The sequence below is a fragment of the Homo sapiens genome, chromosome 2, assembly GCF_000001405.40.
Source record: "Homo sapiens chromosome 2, GRCh38.p14 Primary Assembly".
NCBI lineage: Eukaryota > Metazoa > Chordata > Mammalia > Primates > Hominidae > Homo > Homo sapiens.
Window position 1 is genome coordinate 199,588,460 of NC_000002.12, and position 21,888 is coordinate 199,610,347.

A 21,888-nucleotide genomic window follows, 5' to 3' on the forward strand; every position below is an offset into this window, starting at 1 on the left:
AAATTCAATATATAATTTTGCTGTGACCTCCTCTTCCTGAGACCTGTCAGTGTTTGATACCAAGATGGACCCTAGGGACTGGTCACTGCTACTATAGCTCCTTAGCTGCAGCTGTTCAAGCTCACAGGCTGAAGGAAAAAGAAAAATAAAGTTTTTAATGGCTTGACTAGTTACTGATAGAGCCTGGCACCCACATCTTCCCTTGAAAGAAAGATACTCTTTATAGCACACAGACTATGAGTGAATGAGAAGGAAAACAGCAAAGCGGTGGGAGATAAAGAAGCCCAGTAAAATGTCCCTCTGCCCCCTCACTCTTCCAGGTTGGGGGAAGTGCTGGTATGATTCAAACCAGTGAAACAAACAAACAAACAAAATTTACTTTTTTCCCTTGGATTTGAACTTAGTAATGTTATCATTTGAAGTGTAAGTACCGCTACCCGGGGCCCCACTGTATTAAGCATTTTAATTCCTGAAGAGGTTTGTAGTGGCTCTGAATGTCTTATTTTAAGAAAGTAATAAAAGTTGGTTTTATCAGTTCTGGGACCCTGGGGTGCCTCTGACCCTCAAACCCCTGACCCAATTCTCAAGGCCATTCCAGTGGGCCGCCTCTCCTGTTATACGGTGTTGGAAACCTAGGACTCTTTTGACAGTTACTAAGAGAGGGGGGAATATCATCCATAGATTTTTTTTTTCTAAATGTTAACTAAAAGTACCTTATCTCTGCTGCTGCCCTAACTACCTCACTAATTCTGGTACCAAAGTCATGCTGTTAAGGAAATAGCTGATTTAAACAAAGCAGGAGTATTTTTAGAACAATAAAAAACCTATTCATGATATCTAATTATGCAAACTGTGAACAAGAAGATGCTAGTCTTGCATTAGCTGAGACTTGACTCCTGTTATAATTTGCTCTTTTTTTGCAGCAGAAAGCAGTTCTTTTTTGTCGCTTTACTGCCTTAGCGTGGCTTGGTGCTTTTGGCAGACTCAGCGCAGGTCACCGCAAAGTGTTTCTGTTGCTGCGGTAGACTGCAGTTAGGGAGCGTGGCAGGATAATGTATTGTAATGCAGATTACGGTGGTTTGCTGCTGCGTGATTCACAGATATGATTGCATCTAATTTCAGAAATAAGTGGAACCGTCTGCTCTTTTGTGTTAGCTGAAAGCTGTTCGATGGCGTTCAAATGACTGCTGCCTTTGCACCTAGAAAAAGATAGAAGAAACCCACCCATATCACAGCAATAACTTCCTCATTGTACCCCCCCAAATTCAGCACCATCCTGGCTTTTATGAGAATCGTAGTTCTTTCATCTTTCCTCCGAAAAATAATATGGTCCCATGTTTTGGGGAGTGGGTATATTTTGTTTTATTAAATTTTCTCATCTCTTCCTCTTGGAGAGGGACCATGCTAAATGTTCGTTTCCCTCACTCTCTCTCTCCTGTGGTTCTGTAACAATGCTGTTCTGACTCTTAGAAGAAAACATCTCCATGTAGACCTGCAGTGAGAAGTTCTTAAGGAGTGACTTAGCATCGCAATATTTGGTAACTTTATGAAGCCTGTGGATAACTGGAGCTTTTGCAACTAAAAAATAATTGCAATTTTAATTATGAATCAGATTCATTTAGGCTGTTGGTTCTTATCAATTTGTAGGTTTTCATTTAAACTTCCAGCTCCTTGGACTCCAGTTCTAAGGGGGGCAGCTCTCCAAAAGCAGGCGAATCATACACACACTCTTTCCTCTTCTTTGACCACACACAGTCCTATCCCCTTTATGAAATCAGCCTCCCCCAGTTTGAGTTTGTATCCCCTAATTATGTGCTTTCTTAAATGTTTGTTTTCCGTTGCTCTAACTTTGGTTTTACATATCTCTCTAAAAAAGCCCACAGAAACAAGTTAACTATACTTTTCATACCAAACAGAAATTAAACCTAGGTAACAAACCCTTTGGCAGGAAAACAGTGGGATTTCCCAATGAGCCACATGAACGCAGAGGATGCTGGCAGCCAGCAGAGTCACTTGGGACCCACAGAGCACAGAGGTTAACAGGAGGGGACATCAATCTGCAATGTAACACTGACACTTAATGTTGTTCAGACCCTTTATGAGACAAAACCAAGCACAGGCATTGTTCATTTCTTATTTGACACTTAGAAAAATTCACAGCTGTGTATAAGCACAATATTAAGGACGTGGAACCAGAGGGAAGAAATATTCAAACACAGGCAGCTCCTTCAGCCTGACTCACTCTTCTTAGAGGCTAACCCTATTTCCCCAGGCAGGAGGTCTTATGATGGCAGGCCTTTATTTGACCCACTACAAATATAAATCTATTTCACAATGAGCTCTCATAAATGGAGCTATTATATGACTCCATTTTCTGGATATGATCTTTAGAAATTATCCTGTATCTAGCCTTTAAAGTGTATTCAAGAGGCACTTCATTTGGGTGGATAAGAGTGTAAGATATGATGCATGTAAAATTCTGCCAGTTTTTTTTCAGATGCAATTGTTCATGCTGTAAACTTTGAAATTGTCTGATGACTGGGTCATTTTACAACTGCCTTCACTGATCTTCACAGCAAAGGGCAAAAGGACTGTGACTGTCAGGCTGTAGCCAGAACGTTTAATAAAACGCCATGGGAGATTTCCTCCCCAGCACAATAACTTATCAGAAAACATCTAATGAGCACCCTGTGTGTCCGAGGTAGAAGACCCCAACCTCCCTCCACCCACACACTAGGGTCTATACTATGGGAAGAGTATAATATTCCCACTGATGGGAAACTCTAGATGGGGGAATAAGCTTATTAGAAAACATAGACTTTGCAAAGAGCTAAAGATTTGGTTCTGTTTATATTTTTTAAAACTAATTATAATATTTAATATCTTTTCCTCTCATGTTAAGTATTAGCTATCTACTTCAGAGGAAAACACTACAACCTAGAAGTATTTGGAGGAGGGTGTAACTCCCACAAAACACCCTTCTCCACCTCACTTCGTAAATCTATTCAGTTTGAGACATAATCCCAGGAAAAAGGCAATATGGCAGGGAGTGGGGGTGTGGGAAATCATTTTCTATGTTGCTAATTCTTAATGTCACTCAAAAAACGGTAAGTTAAACCCTTTCTATGGACACAAAAAGAAAAAAGTATTTTCTGTTAACACAATGATAAACTTTACTGTAATTCAGAGGCGGTCAAGAGTGTAAATGTGACAAGAAGCCAAATCCACAGAAACAACAGTGCTTTGCATCTGGAGCTAAGAAATTTAGGTTTCCTCCTAGCACCAGTTACCTAGAGAAAGCCTCAGTTGTACCATCTGTAAAATGGAGAGTTTGCCTGCTAGCCTTCACAGAGTTATGAAAATTAAGAAGTCTCTATAATAGTGTTTTAAAATGTATACTATTTTAAGCTACTGCACACAGTTGGACATGGCACACACAGCTGGGATTTAAAAGCAGAAAGGACATCAGCAAGGTGATTCTACTGGGACAGAGTCTGCAATTCCATGACAATTCTCGGAGGTATGATAACTAAGTCATTAGATACAGCTTGGGTAGTGCACTTTGTCACTGACTGCCAATAAAATTGCTCACGTTGGCCAGGCATGGTGGCTCATGCCTGTAATCTCTCCACTTTGGGAGGCTGAGGCAGGTAGATTGCTTGAGCCCACGAGTTAGAGATCAGCCTGGAAACATGATGAAACCTCATCTCTATTAAAAATGTGAAAAATTACCCAGGCATGGTAGTGCGTGCCTGTAATCCCAGCTACTTGGGAGACTGAGCAATTGCTTTGAACCTGGGAGGAGAATTGCTTGAACCTGGGTGAAGAATCGCTTGAACCTGGGAAGCGGAGGTTGCAGTGAGCCGAGATGATGCCACTGCACTCCAGGCTCAGTGACAGAGCGAGATTCTGTCTTAAAAGAAAAAAATATATATTGCTCAAGGCTCAAGTTACAGAGGACGCTCTCTATGGAAAACTTTTAGAGAGAGAGAATGAACAGGTGTGTCGTTGCTTCTTTCCTTGGTACAGGTGGGGATAGCCTTCTTATCAGCGAGTCCAGGCCTCAGCCCACATGTGTTAACAGCATACCAGTGTGGAGAGCTCTTTCTCCTTCATAAGCAGCAGAGTAATAGCTCGACTCAGTGCACACATTAAGTCCACGCACAATATTCCTAACCGGTCTATAGACGCCTTCAGAGCTGACACTTTCCTGCCTCTTCCTGCGCCTGCCTTAGACCACACGCCAGCGTTACTTAGGGAAAGAGATGATGATTCCCTGTCATTGTTTTTGAGTAATGAATGGGCAATTACCAAACTCTTCTGGAAACTCCTGTCTTCTCAGAGCCCTAATGGAGCATTCAATTCCAAGTATTGGGAACATAAATAGCAGTGAGGGTGCCCACATATTTCAAAGGCTGTAGAAATTACATTGCACAACTTAAACCACCAGAAGTTAAATGGCTTTCTGAAAGGATACTGCTGGGATATTTTTCATCACTTTTACAATATTTTTTTCCTTGCTGTCATTTAAATAGATCCTTGGAAACTTGAAACTTAAATCTATTTCCTTACCCAAAGTTTTCCTTTCAGCATACACACACACACACACACACACATAACTGCCTTGTTATTTTAGGATCACTCATGGGCTGGTGGCACCGATTTTTTTTTAATCAAAAAAACACATAAAAGCTTTTTCTCCACATATTTTCTCCACACATACTGTGTCTCAGAATGGTAAATTAAAGCCACGTAGGCAAAAAAAAAAAAAAAAGAGAAACATCCTCAATGACTATAGAGAAGCAAGGGTTTTGGGCATAGGCCTCTTTCCAGATCCATCAACATTTTTTCTTTCTTTTTTTGGTATTTCTTTAAGGATTAAATTATGTAAACCAAATATATCTAAAATAATTGTATTAGGTGCAAGGTTTATGTAATGTTTGCAGCTAGCACTCATAGCAAAAACAACCTTCACACTCTTCACATGTGAAGCTCCAAAGTAAATCTGATTTTCTTAATAGCTTGAATTCACATACATTGTTGGTGAAAAGCTACAAAAATATGCTTTGTGTTAGCTCTGCTAACTTTATATTCAATTTTTCTTTTAAAAATTTAATTGCATTTCCCATTGTTTCTATTGCATTCTTATAACACAATTTGTGCTCCCTTTAGTAGCTAAAATTACACCTGTAACTGTCCAAAACTATTAGTAAAGTCAGCTTAGCTTGTGGGATAAAGTATCTGTCTTGTATTTCAGACAGATTGTGTTCCAACACCATTGTGGTCAGATTTTTATTAAAAATTCTTCATATTTCTTTTCTCTTTGTGCCAAACAAATCGCTACATTTTCAACACTTAATCATCTTCCTCATCTAAAAATATTTCCACATTAAATGAAAATATTTAAACTTCTTTTTGATGCAGCAAAACTTAGAACACTGTACAAAGTCTGGTTTTCATAAAGTTCTGCAAAAGAGCAGCATGCATATAGAAGCAACTATTGTGAATAATTGTCAAGGTCAAGGGGAGAAACGCAATGGTTAGCAATGGGATGGTTCTTTCCCTAAGATTTCAAATGGACTACTTCAGCAGGGAAGTTTGTTCCCTTTTTTTGAGAAACATTTTTGGAAAGCTAGCATTGGTGATGACAATTGGGGCTTCCCTTATTGGAGAGACTTCCCTCGGTGTCATGGAACTTCTGAAGTTCATTTATGCCAAAAGGGAAGTGCACCAAGACTTGACCCCTTTCCCAAATGGCCCTAGGTGAAATCCTTCATTACGTGCTGCCCTTACAGTTAGTATCCAATCAAGAAAATAGAAGCTTCTCTGAGCATTTAAAGCAAAGTAAGTTTAACACAGGGAATTGGTTACACTGGCGCTGGAAGAGAACAAGAAGCCCACAAGGGACACCTAGGAAACCCAGAGGTAAAAACAGCAGGAAGCCATGGGGTCCCCTAGATTGGAGGGACAGAGGAGAAGGTGAAGCTAGAGCTAGCTAAGGACAGTTGGCTGAGATATCCCCTGAGGCAGAAAAAGAGGGGACAGCATGGCCCCTTGACCAGGGCTAACAAGGCCGCCTACCTGGGTCTGCACGTGATACGAGCCTGCAGTCGTCCTGCTCCAGCTTTGGGTCCTCCACCCTTGAGGAATGCTTGGGGCTACAGGGAGGTGCCTATGGCCTCAGGGCCTGTGTAACTCCTAGGCCACACTGAGACTGTCTATCCCAACAGCCTGAGCCCACTCCCAGGGACTGTGCAGGCCTCTGGCCTTCTCCTCAAGTGGGGCACACCTCCAGTGTTCATTTCAGATGGCCTAAGAGCCCCAGAGCAGGTGTTTGAGGGGAGGGGGAAAAAGCTTGGACGTGGTGACAGTGATGTCTATATGTGTGTATGACAGGTCACAAGAAGCAAGTGGGTGGCAGGCCAGAGGCCAGGCCAAAGCAGAGGCCAGGGTTGGGGTCAGGGCCTAGACCGGGTGGCAGAGCCCAGAGCCAGGGTTAACTCTTTCCATACCACCATGTCCAGGTGTGAAATTCCTGGAGTCCAAGAATTCTAACTCAAACTAGCCTTCAAGTTGATGTGAAAGTACAGTTGATGAGGTAGGAGGCTAGAATGTGCTTTATTTAACAATTTGTTAGCTTGTTTTAGAACTTGTAAACATTTGGATATGTGATATGGGATCTCCATTTGACCTTTTACCTCTGACTCTGTAAATGTTAGGGGTGGACCTAGGCAGAGGAGAAATACTTTTGGCTTCTCCTTTTCTCTTACCTTTCAACCTCCCACCAGTAGCTGTCACTGGCTGACCCTGATGATATAGGCTCTGTAAAATACAGGGAGGAGCAGAGGAAGTGAGAAAAGGACTTGAGAGCAAAGAGGCTTAGGGCTGGGACTCCCACCCAGCAAGGGTGTCCCCTAGGTCAAAATCATATGCCCCCTTTTATACTAGGCTTATAATCTATTATTTAAAGCAAAGTTTAAATGCATGTCCCACTTGAGTTTCTTCCTTCCAGCTTTCTCTCTTCCTTCCTTCTTCCCAACCTTCTTTAAAATGCAAAAACTCCTGAGACCGGTGGCAGATTAAACTTCTAGTGCCTTAGTGTGAATGAATCTGTTAAATATTTTTCTGGTCTGGAAAGCCCGGGGCAGCTTAAGAGAACAGGCTGTCCAGGAAGAGAGAGGAGGGAGTAGATTGGACATCTTGTGACTTTCTGTAAAAGTCTTTTTGTAAAAATATACAAATTATAAGAAACAAATTATCAATGACAATATCCAGTCTGGGGAGTAAATGGTACAATAATTTTAAGATTGAGATCAACCTGAACCTCAGTCTCGATTTTGATATACCTATGTGAGCGAATGAATGTGCTTAACAATTCTTTGCCTCAGTTTCCTCATCTGTAAAACAGAGATGACAATAATAAAACAACCTTTAGGAGTGGCAGCGAAGTGAAGTGAACCAAGGAAAGTATATAAAGTGTTTTGTGTAGTGCCCATTGTATAGCATTCACTCAATTAATGCCAGAAATTAAGATTAGCTTTAGGCTGAATAATGACCCCCACAGATGTCCATGTCCTAATCCCCAGAGGCTGTGAATAGGCTATTTTATATAGTAAAAGAGATTTTGCCAATGTGATTAAGTTCTTGAAGTGGGGAGGTTATCTTGGATTATCCAGGTGGGCGCAATGTAACTACACAAGTCCTTATAAAGAGGAAGATGGGAGGATCAGAGTTGGTAGTAGCAGACATGATGACAGAGTGAGTGACTGGAGTTCTTCAAGGAAGGAGCCGGGAACTGAGAATGCAGATAGCCTCAGACACTGATAATGCAAGGAAACAAAATCTCTCTGAAGCCTCCAGAAGGAACAGTGCTCTGCTGACGTCTTGATTTTAGGTTTCTTATCTGCAGAACTAAAGGGAATAAATGTGTGCTGTTTTAAGCCACCAGTGTGTGGCAGTTTGTTATACAGCAACAGGAAACAAATACAGATGATTATCCTGGATGGTCTGGAAATAAATGAATGAAGGACTTAGAAATATGCATGGGAAGAGGAAAAATTCAGTTTATTTTAAACCTCTAAAGCTTGGAGCAAATTAAGAATGACAAAGAGAAACTTATCCAATACAAAACTTAGTGTTACAAGAAATTTCCCTCTTTGTAAGTGTTGAAGAAACTGGAAGGTTCTCTGATAACAAAACTCCATTGAGAGAATTTGGAGTGAAATCCAGCTTTTTTTTTTTCAGTGGATAACTCTTGAGTATAGATGTCTTCTACTTTCTCTTGGGCACCCTCTAGTGGAAGTGCAAAGGAGCCATGAGAATCAGAAGACTGGCTGTCTTAGGGGAGAAAAGATCAGAAAGCTGCTAACCCAAGCTGGCTGGCATAGCATTTTACATATTTTGTAGAAGGTTAATATGTTTTCACAGATTTGATTTTTTTCCTTATTGTATTCTTCTTTGGAATTTAAAGCTTCTTACCTTTAATTCGATATTTATTCAGCAATCACTTATTGCTAAGAACTGATTTGCATTACCCAAAATTCATATGTTGAAGACCTAACCATCAATGTAATGGTATTTGGAGGTGGGGCCTATGGGAGGCGATTAGGTCATGAGGATGGAGCCCTCATGCTGGGTTTAGTGCCCTTATAAGAAGAGACATGAGAGAGCCTTTTCTCTTTCTACCAGGTGAGGATACAGTGAGAAGGTGGCCATCTACAAGCCAGGAAGGGAGCCCTCACCAGGAACTGAATCTTCTGGCACCTTAGTCTTGGACTTCCCAGCCTCCAGAACTGTGAGAAATAAATTTATGTTGTTTAAGCCATACAGTCTATGGTATTTTGTTATAGCAGCCTGAGCTAAGACACTCTCAGCCCCATACTGAGCAAAGTGCAGGAGAGACAGAAGTACAACAAAGCAAACAACATGAGGAGAGAGCTTATGTCCAGAGAAAGAGGCAGATGAGTAACAAGTAATCACAATCATAATAAAATGTGATGTGATGTGAACCACAATATATAAACAAATGGAGTGCTCGGGAGGTTAATTCAAGAAGTCAAGAAATAATTCTTAGTGGAAGCTTTATCCAGGGTTTGAGGGCTGAATGGAGGCTTACCAAGTGTGGAAAATGCTGGGGAGAAACGTGCAAAGTAACAAAGTCTCAAAGGGCATGATATGTTCAGGGACAAGTTAGAATTACAGGTGAGTTAGGGAGAGAGGGAAGGTAAACATGGAAAGTTAGTTAAAGGTCAGAATATGAAAGGTCTTATATGGAAAGGCATACCACAGAAAAGAGATAGTGTGGTGGAAATAGAAGAGGCTAAAGAGTAGATGGATTTATGTTTGACTCTTGGGTCTGATTTTGCCACTCTTTACCTGCGTGATATTGGAAAAATTATTTAACTTCAGTTTCCATTTATAAAAATACAAATGGCGAATAAACATACAGAGAGATGTTTCTCTTTTCTATTAGTCATGAAAATACAATTAAAACAATGAGATTTCTTAATCTTCCAGCTCACTCAGTTGGCAAAAATTAAAGTGATTGAAAGCATTTGATGCTGGCAAATATGTGAGGAAATGGACACTTTTCAAAATTACTGATGAGACTGTAAATTGATACAACTTACTAGGAAATAATTTGGAAATATCTAGGGGTTTTTTGTTTTTTTTTTGTTTTTAACATTCCCTTAGTCTTACTACTCCCTCCCCTAGTTACTGCACTAGCCCTTGTGGTTTTCCTTCCCTACACCAACACTTCTGAAATCACTCCTTTGGAAATAAAATCTTTCATTTATCCTAATTTCAGTGTGCCACCTCTTTCCTGTTAGGACACTGACTGAATCAGTCCATAAAGCACTTGGCCACATAAAAGGTTCTCAGTACATTTAGATCCCTCCCCTTCTTTCCCTAAGGATCTTTGGACTACGTATTGAATGTCACTGGAAACTCCTGAGTTTCTTCAAGCAAAAGAATGATTTTATTTGTTTTGCTCTTTAGAAAGATGAATCTGATTGCAAACAAAAATGTCTTTCAGATGGGAGAGGAGAGAGTAACTTAGCCATGAGGCCCTGATCTGCTACTCTTCCTGGGGACTCCTAGGACACAGTGGGTGATTGGTATAGTGTGGAGAGGATTCAGAGATGTCTCCTGGTTCTGTGGCCTAAAAGAATAGACAGCTACACTGTGAGTAGAAAATGGAATCAGGAGAAGGAGGAGAAAAAGAGGAAGTACAGGGCAAAAGATCTGAAAGAATTGATAAGGGCTCACTTCCCTTCTCTCACTTTCAACGTTTTTGTGAGAAGAGGAAAATGAGTCTGGGCATGATGGCTCACGCCTGTAGTTCCAGCATTTTGGGAGGCCGAGGCAGGTGGATCACCTGAGGCCAGGAGTTCAAGACCAGCCTGGCCAACATGGCAAAACCCTGCCTCTACTAGAAATACAAAAAAAATTAGCTAGGAGTGGTGGTGCATGTCTGTAATCCCAGCTACTTGGGAGGCTGAGGCACGAGAATCACTTGAACCTAGGAGGTGGAGGTTGCAGTGAGCCGAGACTGTGCCACTGCACTCCAGCCTGGGCAACAGAGAGAGACTCCATCTCAAAAAAAAAAAAAAAAGAAGAGGGAAATGAGAGACAGGATGGACGAAGGACAAGTAGACAACAGCAAATACAATGAATTGCTGTGAAGGGGTGCAGAGAGAAGGAAGAGGGGCATAGTCTTCTATCATTGCATGTGAATGTTTTCCCCTATTTCTATGTGCTAAAGTTGATTAAATTACACAGCCAACCCAGGCCTCTCTCCTGAGATGTTAGAGCTGTCAAAGCTCTAGTATGTAGCTGAAGGTCTCAAAGGTCTCAAAGATCTCTACTTAGAGGTCTCGAAGGAATCTTAAACACAAAACGTCCCACTCTAAATTCATCTCATATGCTCCTAGAGCTTGTCTACCTTCTGTGTTTCCAACTTAATCAACAGCACCAAATTCCATCTAGTGGCCCCAGCCAGAAACACAGGAACTCTTTTTGACACCCCACCCACCCTGTCCTGACATCTAGTTCCTTACTAAGTCTTATTTCTATCTCCTAAACATCTTTTAAACTCTTACTTCTCCCCATCCCTCCTTTTACCTCCTAGTTCTGGCCTCTAGAATCTCTCCACTTGGGCCACTGCAATAGCCTCTAAGCAATGACTTCACATAGTTCCTTTCCAATCCATTTTTCACTTGCTGTCAGAATGATCCGTCTAAAAGGCAAATGGGAGTATTTCATTCCCTAGTGGAATGCTTCGAGGGCTTCCATTTGTCCTTAGCCTAAAGACCAAATTCCTTATTGTCAAGACTACATTCCGTGTTTACAGCCTCATGAAGCAATGAAAAGTGGAGCCTATACTGACAGACTACTGGGTTCAAATCTTGGCTCTGCACTTTCTAGATGTGTGATCTTGCTGACTTAATTTCCTCATCTCTACAATGGGGATAACAATGGCACATACCTCAAAGGGTTGCTGTGAGATGCTCGGCTTGTTTATGTGCTCAGTCAGTTGGCTGTTACTGCATCTCCAGCTTTATTTCACCCTACCCTCCTTCCTTCTGCAAGAGCTTTTACCAAACTCTTTTATGCTTTCTCAATCAGCCCCTTGTGCATTCGGTTTCTTCTACCTACATATCTATTGCCTCTTCCTAACTCTTTTATTCTTTTTTTTTTTTTTTTTTTTTTTTGAGACGGAGTCTCGCTCTTTCGCCCAGGCTGGAGTGCAGTGGTGCGATCTCGGCTCACTGCAAGCTCCCCCTCCCGGGTTCATGCCATTCTCCTGCCTCAGCCTCCCAAGTAGCTGGGACTACAGGCGCCCACCACTGCGCCCAGCTAATTTTTTTGTATTTTTAGTAGAGACGGGGTTTCACCGTGTTAGCCAGGATGGTCTCGATCTCCTGACCTCGTGATCCGCCCGCCTCGGCCTCCCAAAGTGCTGGGATTACGGGCGTGAGCACCGCGCCCGGCCAACTCTTTTATTCTTTATTGGGAGCTTGTGTGGTTCCTACCCTGTCTCAGACTAAGAGCTCTGCTAGATGGTTCCCCTTTTCCTTCCCAGTTCATACTAGGCTCTTATTAAATAATTTTTAGTGGAATGAATGAAGAGCATTTATGATATTTTGTGAGAACTGAGGTTTTTTTTTTTAATAGTTTCTCCAATGTAGGGCACAGTGTATATGAAAGTTATCTTGTTCACTGTTGAATGCTGGCATCCAGTAGAGAGAATGACACATAGTAGGGATTAGATTAAATAAATACGTGTTGAATACATTTGCCATCCTAGACAAGTACTGACTTTCAAAATCTACTTATACACTCAAATGGATCTATCATGAATCATAAAATACTGCAAATTTTGCCAATTTACATTAGAGGTTTTTTTTTTAATTTCGTGTTCTCTCCAAGTTTCTTACTCTTCCAATACTCATCCATTAATTATCATATGTGTTGGCTAATTTTGAACTCTAGGGCTTTATTTGCTTTATATCATGTGGCAAAATGTTTCTTGGTGAACTTTAAACCTTCTCTCTGATCCTGCCAATTTAGTAGATTATATCAGATATTTGTAGGAGTGCAAAAAGTTGCAAGTTAAAAAGCCATCAGTGTGACCATTTTAATATATAGTTCGAAGTAAAGAAAAATATCTCAATTATTCCTTTGTTTTTCAATCACTTTTATTAATGATAGCACTGCTTTCTGAGTAAAGATCACCTTAACTCTTGCAGGCAACATGACATCTTTTATTAAATTATATTAAAACACTGATTAATTGTAATCCAAATCCTCCATTATCCAGGGTTTACTTCTTGTTCTGTATTTGAGGAAACGAATCAAAAATCAAAGAAACAGGTCAGTGTTAGCTAAAACAACAACAAAGCCAACAAAACATTTTCAGCATACATACTGGGCACGTGTGTATTAAATGTAATAAAACAAACATTACTTTTTTAAAAAGGGTGGTAATTTAGCCATATACTGAGTCACCAAAGATTTGATTCTTTCCCTCCATCCTAGCCAAAAGGGAGAAGAAGGGAGTCATCCACTTAGATTTTTCAGTAAGAAATGAAACGAAAAGGGTTGCTGGCTTGATCATGGGTTAAACAGAAAACTTGCTTTTACTTTAACTTCATGTATCTTGGTGAATTGGGCTTTTATTACATTTCTACTATTACCTTAAATGACATCTTAATGACCAAATGCTTTTGATTTACTTTAAGATAACTTTCATTGAAGAAACACTCAATATACGCTGAATAAATAAATGAATACACAAATAAACATATGTATTACACTGGGTATGGTCCCTTTAGTAAGACATTTGTTTGACTCGAACCAATTCTGTAAATTTCATAAATGATAGTGAAGGTGACATTAGCTGACATTAAACCAAGATGTTTGGAAGACTGATAGAGAGGAAATAACTCAAAACTCTGAAAATAAAGCTGTTAAATATTACAAGCACAGCCATGCCTTGCTAAACTCATTTTTCAGGACAGAAAAGCAGATTGTGGAATTATTCACGCCAAAGTAATCCTTGCTTAATTTAATCATCGAACTAGGTTTCCTAATATGGATATTTTCTTAGACTTCAATTTGTTACATAGCTAACTTATTTTCTAATAGACTATGTTGGTAATAAGAAAATGAATTACATGCTGTTGGCAGAGTGATGATAACTTAGATCTGAATTTATCCCACACAAACTTGGTACCCCCTTTAAATTCAATAAGCTTGGGATACCTCAACAATCTATCACCTCTGGATGCCATTTATAAACAGATGGTAAGCCTCCACACCCGTGTGCTGCAGAGAGCACAGGCCAAAGTACTTTTATCCAGGAATCTTCCGTGGCATCATCAGGAAGAACACAGAGCCCAGCCAATTTTGAACAAAGACCATTCAGCTTCCTGTTTCAGGACCTTCTAAATCCTTAAATCCCATTGGCTTAGCACAGGCAAAACCTAACACCGCAGTAAATGTCATACTCCACCCAGGAGAGGGCAGCGACACTCACAACAAGCCAACATTACACCAGGGCTTGGAATGATTGAATAGAAAAACAGTAGAGAGGTCCAGGCTGCAGTGAGCCATGATCTTGCCACTGGACTCCAGCCTGGGCAACAGAGTGAGACCATGACTCAAAAACAAACAAACAAAAAAAAATGAATTAGGGAAGAGAGAAAGAAGGAAGGAAGGAAGGAAGGAAGGAAGGAAGGAAGGAAGGAAGGCAAAAGAAAGAAAAAAGAAAAGAAAGAAAGAAAGAAAGAAGGAAAGAAAGAAAAGAAAAGAAAGGAAACCGAGTGTCTGATGGTTGAAAGATCATTTGTCTTTCATTCTTCACTGTCTCCAAGCATGAACCAGGAGAAATTTAAACGCAAGAAAAGCAACAATCACTATTTCATCAACTCTCTCTCACAGCAGGGAGTTATTCAAAAATAATAATGCCTTTCTATGATAGGAAACCTAATTATTAAGAGCATTAAACATTAGAAGATTGCCACCCTTCGTACTGGCTGCAGATCGTTTGTCTTACTTGTCAAACACAAGTTCGTTTTTGACACTGATTTCTTAAATTTCCGCTGACTTGGCAATCTGCAGCCACTTCTCACAAGCTCTGTAATATCTTAAAGACTTCACAGCTAAGCAGTTAGAAAGGATTTGGGGTTTAATTCAGCTCACTGACCTGTTTAAGAGAATAACGGAAATAAAACAATTTTCAGCTAAAGGCCTGAGAAGGCCTCTCTCTTCTGAAAGAGTCTTTGTATCAATGCCATGAATCAAATGGTTTGTCTAAGTGGTTATTCTGCACCACCAGTGAAGGCCCAGCAATGTGGCAGTGAATCACATTTAATAACTTGTGGTTAGCTGTCATGAACACTTAATTTGATGTTGAACACAAACCCTGCAGGGGCAGAAGGGAGCTGGGGAGGGGAGAGGTGGGTGAGGTGTGGGGGGCAGAGAGAGTTAAGATCCACTTGAGATCCTGCGGCTCCCTTCACCCCTTGAATCTTGAGGGACGGATGTGGGATCCTGTCTGCTGGTGTTTCTGCTGCGTTTTTTGCAGCACGGCGTTAGACAGAATTCGCTTTCTTGGCGTTTATCGTCTCCCCCACTTCAAGTCTTCCTGGGATCCCATTCACCCTCATAATGAAGGCTCGCCCAGTGTTAGAAGAACACTGCAGTCTTTTCCAGAGTGCTAGTGGAGGGCTGTCAGGCCGGCTAGAAGAATTCAAAGCGTTCAGGGAACCCACAAAAGATTTCTTGCAGCCTTTTAGCTGCCTGGCAGGCAGTAGAAACCCCTCTTGTGTCAACTGCTAAATACTGCTGTCCCTGTGTCCTAAACGGAATGCGTCAAAACTCGGGAATCCCACAGCTTCACATGTTAGCCATGTGCGCTGGCGGCAGCGGGCTCCGGCCGCTTCAGACGTTTTAATTTGTCACTCGGGAAAGCAGATGTGTCAGGGAGTTGGAGAACTTGGGAGGTGACCACAGCGAACTGCCTGAGGGGCCTACCCCACCGGGACCGCTGATGAGCCTCCTCCGTGGGGCCAGCCCAGTGCTGGGAGCGGAGGGAGGGAGCAGCAATTTGGTGGCTGCGATTGGAGACAAGGCCGCCTCCCACCGCGCCTCCCGGGAGCCCCCGGCGCGCACCCCGCCCGCTCGTGGCCGCGGCCGGTCCCTTTAGTCCCCCTTGCCGCGCTACGCGCACGCCCTGCCCTGCGCTGAGCAATGGCAACCTCGAAAGCACGTTCCAAACACTTTCTCCTTAGTCCTCAGGCCTCTCTCACTGGTTCGTTGAGCTACACAGCTATTCTCCGAGATTGCTCTAAGTCGGTGTGAGAATCTTTTAAGTGTCCTTCAAAGGCTACTTTGCAATGACGCGAGCCTGAGGCATAGGTCCCGATCATTTCAATCTGGTCAATAGAGGAAAAACAAAATGGAATTTGACATTAAAAAAAAAAAAACTCAGTAGTCCTGTTTTCAAAGTGTAAATGTGATGAATTTTAAAGCAAAGCAAACTTTAATACATTCAAATAAACACTAAATTGTAACACCTCTGAAAGCATTAATCACTCCCCTTGGTGTGTCAAGAACTTGGTGTAATTAGAGACCTCCTCTGACTCCCCTCAAACTCCTCACTCTCACCCATCCCCACCCACCCCTCCTCACCCTCTAGACGCCAAGTGCATTGCCTGCCTCAGTGCAACTGACAAATACATGCATTGAACCAAAATTCCTGCAAACTCAGCTGACAAGAAGACTGTGAAAATATAAATCTCTATTTTACATATTTTTATTGGTAGTAATAATAGAAACAATGTTTATATTTTTAAAAAATCCAAACCCATGGGATAAAAGTAACAAGTCTACAGCTACCCAATGAAACACACACACACACACTTGAAACTTCTGTGTTCTAAAAATGTAACAGATTCAAATCAGACTTATGACACCAAGTTCCATGGAACAAACTAGTCCCCACAGTAAAATTAGAAAACCTGAACAAGAAAATCAACATTAAAGACATAATCATAAATGTTTACTTTAGGAAGGACAATGAAGTAATCATACAAATAAGAGATTTTAAAAATGGAAAAGTCCTTAATGGAAGTTTCATTTACTTTATTTAAATCCAAGTGAATTTCATTTTAATTCATTTCAATTATTTATTAGTTTATTACATTATGGGAAACTGAGGCACAGGGAATTCAGCAACTTGCTGGAAGCCCATAGCTGGCTGGTTAATTAATGGCAGGTCAAAGATTAGAATTTAATTGTACATCTGTGAATTCTGCCTTTGCTGCCTTTCTCCAGCAGCACTGATTAGAATAGTAATCATTTATGACAATTTTATAGGATGGAAATCGAGGCAAATACAGGTAAAAATCACTAAGCAAATTGATAGCAGAAGGAGTGAGAGGAGTCTGAAGGGCTAAACTGTTCCACAAAAAACAATATTTCTTATTTTTAGAAGTGATTTTCTTAAACCATTTAAATTCTCAGAACATTATGGGTAGACCGAAAATATGCAGATAAACATATTAAAATATTTTAAAACTATTTCCTCCTTTACTTACTTTCCAAGACCTGCACTCAGATCTGTGCTTCCCTTGAAAGAATTCCAGAGCTTTCTCTTCCAGTCTGTAGGACTAGGCCTCCAACAGGGCCCTGGGATTACAAATTGAAGACTCAACAGAGAGCATAAGAATCCAGGATCTGAAGGCGCTCAGTGGAACACCTTGACGCTCAACTTAAAGTCTTCGAGATTTGGCCTCAGAAAGAAAAAGAAGCAAGTCCAGATGCCTTCAGGACCATACTTTCTCCAAAAACACGCTAAGTTTATTAATTTTCAGGGCTGTTAATTTGACACTTGCTTTCTTAGAGTTTACCTAAAAATAGAGTGTGGGGGGAGGGGCAGGAAGAGGGGCAGGAAGACAAAACCGAAAACTAAAATGTTAAGGATTTTGACTCGGATGGCAAAAATCATGTCATTTATAACATTTCAGTCAACGGTCTTACTGCATGCCACATCTTCATAGAAATCCTATTATCAAAGCCACCAGACACTATATTTGCTTCCTAATTATAGACCCTGAGCTAACAGTTGCTTTTTCTTCCCTATAATAACAACAACACTTTGTATTTATCTAGCGCCTTTCTTCCAACAAGCTCAAAATGCTTTGCAGACATTAACTCATGAATCCCGGCTTCTGGTGAATGGGATCGGTGGTGCCTTTTAGTCTCTATGTTTTGTAGTTGGAGAAAACAAGCAACTGAGCAAGCAGCCAAAGACACAGAGAGGAACATGTTGAGGAGTTCAGCTCTAGGGCCTTGGAGTTGATAACAAAATGCTTCCTCTGTGTTTGCTTCTACTTAGCCTCCTCTGGACTTAAACAAAGGAGAATTCTTGGGTCTGATGAAGGTTCCATTTTGGACATTTTTCTCTCTACCTTTGCTTCCTCATCAGGATTTGCAAACATCTTTGCACAGTTGTTTAACTACTAATTCTAATCCTGAGCTTAGCCATAAGGATTTTAATCACATCCATGATCCTTTCCCCACAAGCACCCCCTTGTGGGTGCTTAGGGCGCCAAAACAATGAAACAAAAGACAGGCCTTCACCAAGGAGGTTAGGGGTTGCCTTTTAGACAAATTTAGTTGGTGGCTTGGGATTTTTATACCTTACACTGTTATTGAAAGTTTCCAAATGGATTTTCTCGGTGGTCTCCTTTAAAATTAAACTAAAAATAAAATATAGGACTGTAAAATCTTGGCGTTAGAAAAATCTTGGAGGCCGTCTAGAATTCCTTCTCCGATACTGCTGACATACCATCATTCAGCTGTTGCCTGAACATTTCCAGTTCTCAAGAAATTCAAACAATAGCCCATGTATTTGTTTAATAACTCTCATTGATAGAAATGTCTTCATTATATAAAACTGAAGTCATCTGCCTTTCTAATGCCATTTCATTCATGCTAGTTCTGCCCTCAGAAGAACTCAGCTAATATCAAACACTTCCACAGTCACTTTGCAAAAATTTAAGGAAACTAATATTCCCTTTAAGTTTTCTCTTCTCTAAGGTAAATACTCTCAGTTTTTAATGGTTCTTCACATGAATATTTTCCAGAACCTCCCTCCTCCTACATGCCATTCTCTGATTGAGCTTCAGCTGTCAGTGTCCCTGAAACCTAGTTTTGTTCTGGCCAGCACAAATGATTGTGGAACCATATTCTCCATTATCTCGTCCTTTGTTTAGAAATGTAACTTAGGGTTTCATAAAATTTTGCTAGCCAGAACACACTTCTGGCCACTATTCAGTTGTAATACAACAAAACCCCTGGGTATTTTTCATCCTAACTGAGTGTAAGGTAGGTGCTATGGTTTGATTATTTCCAACCAAAACTCATGTTGAAACTTAATCCCCGATGTGGCAATATTGAGAGGTGGGACCTTTAAGTGATTGGATCATGAGGGCTCTGTGCTCATGAATGGATTAATCCATTCATGGGTTGATGGATTAATGGGTTAATGGATTAATGGTTTATCATGGAAGTAGGGTTGCTGGCTTTCTAAGAAAGGAAGAGACCTGAGCAAGCATCTTAGCACACTCGGCCCCCTTGCCATGTGATACACCTCAGGACTCTGTACAGAGCCCCCGCTAGCAAGAAGGTTTTCACCAGATGGGCCCCCTCAACCTTGGATTTCCCAGCCTCCAGAACTGTAAGAAATACATTTTGTTTCTTATAAATTACTCAGTTTCAGCTGTTCCATTACAAGCAATTAAAAAGACTAAGACAGCAGGCCTCCTTCATTTTATTCTTGCACAGTTAAGTTTTGAATCATTGGTCCCCATTAAAATAGTTTCATTAGTTTCAGATATAGCATATTGAAATCTTTCTAAATTTGTATTTTCTATTAATTTTATTTTGCCATGATACCCTCTGCATATTTGAATCCTGAATAATTTGAAAAGCCTTTTTCCGTGTTTTCAGTTGTTCACTAATTTACAAAAGATCCACTATGTATCTGGTGTTTTTCTAGGAAAGAGGAATACAAAAATGAATAAGATCTTTGTCTTCAAAGCATTCGCCATCTAGAGAGACACAGAGATGAGGAGCCCAAGAGATGAAACTGGAGAGGTAGGTGGGATCAGCTGGTTTGACTGCCGTTACTTACCCCATTAAGGAGATTAAACTAGGGGACTTTCAAGCAAGGGGAATAACCTGATCAGCTGTTTATGTTAGCAGAACATCTCCAGCAGCAGCTGGGATGATGAAGCATCTTCTCTTGGCAAAGAAGAACACCAAAATCAGAGAGGCCAGTTAGGAGGCTACTGCAATATTTCAGGTAAGAGTTAATAAGGACTGAAGTACAGCAAGGACAATAGGAGTGAAGAGGAGACAGAATTCAGAATTTTTCAGAGGTGGAATAAGTAAGACTATATGACCAATTAAATATAAAGAGCGAATAAGTATGAGCTGAGAGGAGTGAAAAAAAACAAACAAAAATTATATAAAGAGTAAGGAAGAGAACAGGGTACTCTGGGGATTTCATCTTCGATAAATGGTGTTAGTCATAGAGGGTAGAAAACTTGAGAGAAAAGAAATTACTCTAAGGAAGGACATCTGGAATTGAAAGCTATTAGTTTGCAATTTTCTCGAATATTTCTCAGTAGACAGAATCATAAGAAAATGGAAGGTTGAATTATTCCAAAGGGGAAATATTTCTAGATTGAGAGCAACAGAAAAACTGAGGCGTATGCTGGAGTGTGTGTGAATGCCACCCCAGTCACTAGATGCAGCTGAGGAGGCTGGTACATTGTGGGAGCAATGAAGGGCTGAAGCATTGGAAATAGGAAAGCAGGTTTGGTGGGAATTCAGGAATGGAAAAGGCCAGAGCATAGGAGATTGTGCTAGCCACCTAGATCAATGAAGAAAATGTTGAATTGAAGCTCCCAACAGCACATTCTCAAGAACATCTTTTCCAGGTTAACCTCAATTTATTAATTGACACCAGTTCTGATTACACTTCACAATCATCAGGGTAACATTTCCTCATCTTGTCCACAAGATAACCAATCATGTGAGCCTTTATCAAACACCTTACTCATAACTACTCATTATGTCAAGAATATTCTACTCAATAACCTGATTTATTTTTTTTTAATTTTACTTAATCTTATTTTATTTGAAGTTCCAGGGTACATGGGCAGGATGTGCAGGTTTGTTACATAGGTAAACATGTCCCATGGTGGTTTGCTGCACCTATCAACCCATCACCTAGGTATTAAGCCCCACATGGATTAGCTATTTATCCTGATGCTCTCCCTCCCCCAAACCCCACCCCCAGTAACCCAATTTAAAAGTGAAAGGTTCTTTGTGATCCTATGTTAGTACCTAGTAATTACTGCATTTTTTTCTTTTCTTTTCTTTCTTTCTTCTTCTTCTTCTTTTTTTTTTTTTTTTTTTTTTTTTTTTTTTTTTTTTTGAGGCAAAGTCTCACTCTGTTACCCAGGCTGCTGGAGTGCAGTGGTGTGATTTCAGATCACTGCTGCCCCCACCTTTTGGATTCAAGCAATTATCCTGCCTCAGCCTCCCAAGCAGCTGGGACTACAGGTACACCATCACGACCAGCTAATTTTTTTGTTTGTTTAGTAGAGATTTCACCATGTTGGCCAGGCTGGTCTTGAATTCCTCAAGTGATCTGCCTGCCTCGGGCCTCTCAAAGTGCTGGGATTACAGGCATGAACCATTGTGCCTGGCCTCACTGCACTTTTTTCTAGTATTTGTCTCTTTGATTATCCATTCTTGAAACTAGGAAGCAATTAACAATCAAATTTATCATTCTACATTTTTCCCTTTTCCGAAAATCAGGAAAACATTTTTCCAGCTCCATTACCCAAGCAATTTCCCCATTCTTTATACTTTCTCAAAAATCTACAAGTGTTTATGAGATCACATCATGAAATGTTACTTAAAGTTCCGGGTTATGCCTTGCCTTAGACCAGAGATGTGAATATATTGAAATTAGTACATTCTGCTCTGTCCTCTCTATTTTCTTAACCAAGGTTGCTCTACTCTTTCTTTTTGGAAGAGATTATTTTCCTTGCTAGACTAGATAGATTCAACACAGGAGTTGAGAACTTAAGCTTCCTATATGTCACTTTCTATGCCATAAAACTTCCTAGCTTTTTGTTGTTTCTTTTCCTTTTGGAAACATAGCTGGAATAGTGTTTGTTTGTTTGCAAGCTTCACTTCCTTAAGGATTTTAGCTTTTTCTAGATCGATTATTTGAATTCACGCTATTCTATAGTATATATCCTTGGGAAGTGTGTTAGGACAGGTTTCTCAGAATCGAAT

At 40.6% G+C, this 21,888-nt stretch overlaps 1 long non-coding RNA gene across 1 annotated transcript in view; it reads left to right on the top strand.

Moving 5' to 3' along the window:
- The first annotated feature begins 19,608 nt into the window (after positions 1–19,608).
- LINC01877 (long intergenic non-protein coding RNA 1877) overlaps positions 19,609–21,888 on the top strand; it is a 51,065-nt gene continuing 48,785 nt past the window's right edge. Inside the window, exon 1 of the long non-coding RNA NR_110270.1 lies at positions 19,609–19,668. This is a non-coding gene — a long non-coding RNA (long intergenic non-protein coding RNA 1877). The remainder of the gene's footprint in view (positions 19,669–21,888) is intronic.